The sequence below is a fragment of the Homo sapiens genome, chromosome 16 (genome assembly GCF_000001405.40).
Source record: "Homo sapiens chromosome 16, GRCh38.p14 Primary Assembly".
Classification (NCBI taxonomy): Eukaryota; Metazoa; Chordata; class Mammalia; order Primates; family Hominidae; genus Homo; species Homo sapiens.
Genome location: NC_000016.10, coordinates 85,969,163 through 85,976,074, shown reverse-complemented (window position 1 = coordinate 85,976,074; position 6,912 = coordinate 85,969,163). Strand labels below are relative to the sequence as shown.

The 6,912-nt window shown below is 50.6% G+C and overlaps 1 annotated feature.

Moving 5' to 3' along the window:
• Positions 3,335-3,835: an enhancer, noted in NCBI's record as "H3K27ac hESC enhancer chr16:86005846-86006346 (GRCh37/hg19 assembly coordinates)". NCBI's record gives its function as "activates a minimal SCP1, AML or CMV promoter by ChIP-STARR-seq in primed H9 embryonic stem cells {active_cell/tissue: H9 hESC(primed)}" and the evidence as "EXISTENCE:reporter gene assay evidence [ECO:0000049][PMID:30033119]".

Sequence of the window (6,912 nt, the reverse complement as noted above, 5' to 3'; positions counted from 1 at the left end):
TGAGGAAACATAACTGCGTGGCTGCTGGGAGATCCCACCACTGAGTTTTCAAGGCCAACGGATCAGGCATTTGAAAAGATCTGCTGCATACAGTGGTGTGGTTTGTGCACTGCACAAAGTGCTTCTGTCTCAAGTGGGGCTAAAGTCCAAGCTGTGAGCTGCCTTGTAGGAACACCTTTTTCTTCGCACAAAAGCCCTGGCAGTTAGCTCACCAACCCCTAGGCCTGCAGGTCTGCATTCACCCAGGAAGGAAGCCTTTTTCCCATTCAAATGAAAGTGCCATCTTAGCGGGTAGCAACTCATGTCTGGGAGAGTTATGGAGAGAGAGAAGAGAGGCTGGCCCCCTGCAGGGTGCCTTCATATAGAGGTTAGAAGGAGGAAGGGAAGCTCACGGTGTGGCTGTAGAAAGGAGGCATTTCCTTAAGTTCAATTTGCAATGAGAGTGGAATTTGGACAAGCCCCTCACCCCTCACCCTGGGGTTGGCCGGGAGCCCTTTGTTAAACATTGACCAGGGTACGGGCACCTCCAATCTGAGATTCCCTTTAAAGTCACGCTGCAGTCGTATATTTGTACAGCACCAAGGCAGGGGAGGATGATCTTGTGTGTGCCAGGCTGGTGCCCTCCAACTGGCATGTTTTAAGGCTTAACCACCCCCTCCACCTGCTCGCCTGAAGTCTTTTCACCAATAAATGGTTAGTCCTAATAGAAAGGAAGGGTCCACCCACCATTGCACTAAAGGAGGGGCTTTGCTGGTTTCAGTGGCATCTAGATGTCACCGGCTGATACCTTATCCTAGGAACAGGGTGTGACTGAGACAGAGGGAACCGCCAGGGCAGTTCTACCTTAAGGAGTGGGGAGAGGGGGCTGTGGGAACACAGTGTAAGAGGAGGGAGAGGAAGCAAAGCCTCACCCACCTGGCTTTTCTGCCAGCACCACCCTGGAATGTGGCTCTGTATGTCTTAATTCACTTATTCCATAAACAGTATCAGCCTCTGCTCTGTGGCAGTCACTGAGTCAAGGTAGGAAACAGGACGTGAGACCCTCACTGAGTTCCAGCAGCATCATCTCATGTAGTCCTCACCTGAGTCCCAGGAAGGAGGTGGTGACTACTTTTACCCCTGTTTCATGGATGGAGAAACAGAGACTTAGAGAGAGGAGGAGACAGCTGAGCTCACACAGTCAGGAGACGGCAGATCTGGGCCTCCAACCAAGGACCTTCTGGCGCCAGTGCCTGTGCTATTACTGACGCAGAGATATCCCTTTAAAGGAATATTTTACCTGTAAAATGTTGTCCAAATATTGGACATTCAGAGGAATCATGTTTCAACCCTTGTGCTAGATAATGAACACACTTGCTTTCAATAAACCTACACTGTCATTGAACATCAACTCAAGGCAGAGAATTTTTATGACCGAGGAGTTGTCAGTTAGCTTGAGTACACAACCAAAGGTCAAAATGGCATCCACAGAAACAAGGGGTCACTGAGGTCGTGGAAGGCTCAGCAAGCCTGAGCTTAGAGGACACAGAACCACCACTTCCATCAGGCTGGGCTCAGGCTTAAGGTGAAGTCAGCCTGCGTGCCCGGCAGAGCCCCCCACAGCACCGTCCCTAAATGACGCCACCTCAGGACCCCAGGACGACTGACTGAGGCTCAGAAAGTCTGGCATCAGAGAAAACTCAGGGCAGGACTCTGCAGGGGATGCTGCGGAAAAGGGGGCTCGGTGGGTATTTCATTCCTCCACAAGTGAGTTACAGTACTAAAGGTAGCAGTAATACCAGCAGCAACAGCAGTCACTATTGCAGAAGCAACAGTCTCAGCCATGATCATAGTGGTAACCAGAGGAGTAATCACTAGACTAGCAGCAGTAATCATAGAGTCAAGGCAGTAACGTGGCAGTGATAGAAGCAGTGCAGGGAGTAATAGGAGGAGCAGGAGAAATATCAGTCATAGAGGCGGTAGTCACAGAGGCGGCAGGAACAATGGCTACAGTCGTAGTACCAGCGTCGGTCACAGAGGCGGTAGTCACAGAGGCGGTAGGAACAATGGCTACAGTCGTAGTACCAGCGTCGGTCACAGAGGCGGTAGTCACAGAGGCGGCAGGAACAATGGCTACAGTCGTAGTACCAGCGTCGGTCACAGAGGCGGTAGTCACAGAGGCGGCAGGAACAATGGCTACAGTCGTAGTACCAGCGTCGGTCACAGAGGCGGTAGTCACAGAGGCGGCAGGAACAATGGCTACAGTCGTAGTACCAGCGTCGGTCACAGAGGCGGTAGTCACAGAGGCGGCAGGAACAATGGCTACAGTCGTAGTACCAGCGTCGGTCACAGAGGCGGTAGTCACAGAGGCGGCAGGAACAATGGCTACAGTCGTAGTACCAGCGTCGGTCACAGAGGCGGTAGTCACAGAGGCGGCAGGAACAATGGCTACAGTCGTAGTACCAGCGTCGGTCACAGAGGCGGTAGTCACAGAGGCGGCAGGAACAATGGCTACAGTCGTAGTACCAGCGTCGGTCACAGAGGCGGTAGTCACAGAGGCGGCAGGAACAATGGCTACAGTCGTAGTACCAGCGTCGGTCACAGAGGCGGTAGTCACAGAGGCGGCAGGAACAATGGCTACAGTCGTAGTACCAGCGTCGGTCACAGAGGCGGTAGTCACAGAGGCGGCAGGAACAATGGCTACAGTCGTAGTACCAGCGTCGGTCACAGAGGCGGTAGTCACAGAGGCGGCAGGAACAATGGCTACAGTCGTAGTACCAGCGTCGGTCACAGAGGCGGTAGTCACAGAGGCGGTAGGAACAATGGCTACAGTCGTAGTACCAGCGTCGGTCACAGAGGCGGTAGTCACAGAGGCGGTAGGAACAATGGCTACAGTCGTAGTACCAGCGTCGGTCACAGAGGCGGTAGTCACAGAGGCGGCAGGAACAATGGCTACAGTCGTAGTACCAGCGTCGGTCACAGAGGCGGTAGTCACAGAGGCGGTAGGAACAATGGCTACAGTCGTAGTACCAGCGTCGGTCACAGAGGCGGTAGTCACAGAGGCGGTAGGAACAATGGCTACAGTCGTAGTACCAGCGTCGGTCACAGAGGCGGTAGTCACAGAGGCGGTAGGAACAATGGCTACAGTCGTAGTACCAGCGTCGGTCACAGAGGCGGTAGTCACAGAGGCGGTAGGAACAATGGCTACAGTCGTAGTACCAGCGTCGGTCATAGAGGCGGTAGTCACAGAGGCGGTAGGAACAATGGCTACAGTCGTAGTACCAGCGTCGGTCATAGAGGCGGTAGTCACAGAGGCGGTAGGAACAATGGCTACAGTCGTAGTACCAGCGTCGGTCATAGAGGCGGTAGTCACAGAGGCGGTAGGAACAATGGCTACAGTCGTAGTACCAGCGTCGGTCATAGAGGCGGTAGTCACAGAGGCGGTAGGAACAATGGCTACAGTCGTAGTAACAGCGTCGGTCATAGAGGCGGTAGTCACAGAGGCGGTAGGAACAGTGAAGATCATGGCAGCACAGTCACATCATCACAGCAGCAGTAGTCACGGTGGTAATGGTAACAGAAGCCCCAGGTGCAGTCCTTGTAGCCGCAGTGGTGCTGCCGAGAGTGATCCTGGCAGTATCCGCAACAACTCAGTACATGAGTAGTACTGGCAATGGTCCTAGCAGTAGTCATAGTGTAACCACCCAACAGGGTCCCCTGCCCGCTGCCTAGACAGAACTGATTTATCAAGACAGGGGAATTGCAGTGGAGAAAGAGTAAATCACACAAAGCCGGCTGTATGGGTGACCAGAGCTTTATTATTACTCAAATCAGTCTCCCTGAGCCTCTGGGGAGCCTTCGGGGATTGGAGTTTTTAAGGACAATTTGGTGGGTAGGAGCTTGGGATGTGGGGAGTGCTGGCTGGTAGAGTTGGAGATGGAATGATCGGGGATTGAAGTGAGGTTTTCTTGCCGTCCTCTGTACCTGGGTGGGATCACAGAACCGGTTGAGTCAGATGACGGGTTTGGGTGCAAAATATCTCAAGCACTTATCTTAGGTTTTACAAATAGTGATATCATTCCCAGGAGCAATTTGGGAAGGTTCAGACTCAGCCAGAGGCTGCAGGGCCCCTAAATCGTAATTTCTAATCTTGTAGCTAATTTATTAGTCCTACAAAGGCAAACTGGGCCCCAGACAACAAGGGGTTTTCTTGTGGGAAAGGGCTATTATCAATTTTGTTTCAGAGTCAAACTAGAAACTAAATTCCTTTCCAAGGTTAGTTCAGCCTACACCCAGGAATGAACAAGGACAGCTTAAAGGTTAGAAGCAAGATGGAGTTGGTTAGGTCTGATCTCTTTCTCTGTTATAATTTCCCCAGCTATAATTTTTGCAAAGGCAGTTTCAGTCATTGTAGGAATGATTCTAGAAGTGTTTTGTGCTAAGTGTTTTGCGTATGTTACTAGAAAGGGGTCCCGATCCAGACCTCAAGAAAGGGTTCTTGGATCTCATGTAAGACAGAATTCCATGACTCATGCCTGTAATCCCAACACTTTGGGAGGCCAGGGTGGGCGGATCACTTGAGGCCAAGAGTTTGAGACGAGCCTGGCCAACATGACAAAAACCCATCTCTACTAAAAATACAAAAATTAGCCAGATGTAGTGGCAGAAGCCTGTAGTCCCAGCTACTCAGGAGGGTGAACCTGGGAGGCAGAGGTTGCTGTGAGCCAAGATTGCGCCACTGCACTCCAGCCTGGGTGACAGAGTGAAACTGTCTCAAAAAAAAAAAAAAAAAGAAAAGAATGAATGAATGAATGAATGAATGAATGAATTGGAGGCTAGTCCATAGAGTAAAGTGAAAGCAAGTTTATTAGGAAAGTAAAGGAATAAATGGCTACTCCATAGACAGAGCAGCCCCGAGGGCTGCTGGTTGTCCATTTTTATGGTTAATTCTTGACGATATGCTAAACAAGAGGTGAATTATTCATGCCTCCCCTTTTTAAACCATATAGGATAACTTCCTGATGTTGCCATGGCATCTGTAAACTGTCACAGAGCTGGTGGGAGTGTAGCAGTGAGGACGGCCAGAGGTCACTCTCATCACCATCTTGATTGTGGTGGGATTTGGACGCTTCTTTACTGCAAGCTGTTTTATAAGCAAGGTCTTTATGACCTGTAGCTAGTGCTGACCTCCAATCTCATCCTGTGACTTAGAATGTCTAACTGTCTGGGAATGTAGCCCAGCAGGTCTCAGCCTTATTTTACAGAGCCTGCTTTCAAGATGCAGTTGCTCTGGTTCAAATGCCTCTGACACGTATACTAATTCATTTAATCCTCATAACACCATGTGATAGGTCCTGGTCTTGTCCCCATTATACAGATAAAGACATTGAGGCACAGGCATATTAAGGAACCCCAAAAAGCAACCCCAACTAGGATTTGAACCCAGGAAACGTGGTCTTAACGTGGTAGCCACCCCAACTGGAGGAAGCAGAGCTTCTCAAGAGACCTCTGCATCGCAGTGCTGAAAGGCGCGTGTGGCACTGCAGCCTCCATCTGGCCACCTTCCCCCTGTCATGCATCATCCTAGGCCCAGGGAGGCCACAGTGAACAGAAGCAGAGCCCAGCGCTCTAGATGCTCAGGACTGGTGGTAGGGAGGTTCCACGGCAGCAAAGAATCCCTCCAGAGAGTGCTGGGTGCTGGGAAGAAGAGAAATGGGTGAGGGGTGTGGAAGGGGACGGGGGTTGTCTATTTTGGATGGGTGAGCTCCCCACCCACACCCATGCCCCACCAGAGGCAACATTTGAGCAGAGAGATCTGACTTACACAAAGGTATAGCCACAAAAGGTGCTGGGGAGAGAGCATCCCCAGCCAAGGGAAGCAGCACATGCAAACCCTGCACAGCACGAATCAGGCGCTTCGGGAGCAGACGTGGGGGGTGGTGCATGGGAAGGGAGGAGGCAAAGCCCCTTTCCACTGCCCCAGAGAAGAAAACTTTTTCCATTCGAAATATTTTTGAAACAAAAACACAAAAAAATGAAAACATCACTCATAACCTCACCGCTTTTGCAATTATATAAAGAAGTGAAAAGTCCCCCTTCTGTCCTTTTGCCCCAGCTATGTTTGGGAAATGAACAGGCAGAGTGGGCCTATCAAAGTGCAGAAAGCCATTTGTAGATGCACTGAACGCCCGAGGTCTCAGTCTCCATCCCTCTCTGGAATGCAGAGACCGCCCTTTTCTCAGCAGCTCCCAGTTCACCAGTCTCTAGCAGCGTGATAAACTGCTACGGCCTGAAACCACTGATAGCCACAGAGGTTAAACTTGCAGGGGAACTAAGACTGATGAAGGGGCTCGGAGCCCTTCCTCCTGACCTCAAGACGCGGGCTTGAATGCCTGGTCCTCAGGTCCTGTATGTGGATCTTGGGGCTTTTTGTCTTCATTTTGGTTTTCGTGGCTACCTTCTGGATGGTTGGAATTTTTTGACAACTGACTTCCAGATGCACAATGGGGGGATAGTGACAAATGGCCCAATGAGAAAACAAATGCAGTTGCCAAAGCCAGGAGGAGCCCAAATCACAGAACCTCACAAGGGCTCAGGATGACACCTGAGCTTACCTGCAAGGGATCTGCTGCCTAAATTCACAAGAAAGAGCCCTGACAACCATCTTGCAAGAGGAGGTGAAAATGAGTTAACATGACTGTGAAAACAAAAGTTATTTCTCAGGGTTATTTTCAGCATGCCACGGAGCAGATTCCAACCACAAAGGTCAATAAGAATACAGAAAGAATGAGGTGATCCAGCCAGCAAAAGCTGCCTCCAGGCAGCAGAAACGTTCACATTTTAGGTAATTTCTTCAAGGAGCAGAACTGATTATGGACCATTCCCTCTAGCAGAAGTGTGAGGTCTCTCTCTTCATATTCTCATGTTTCCTTC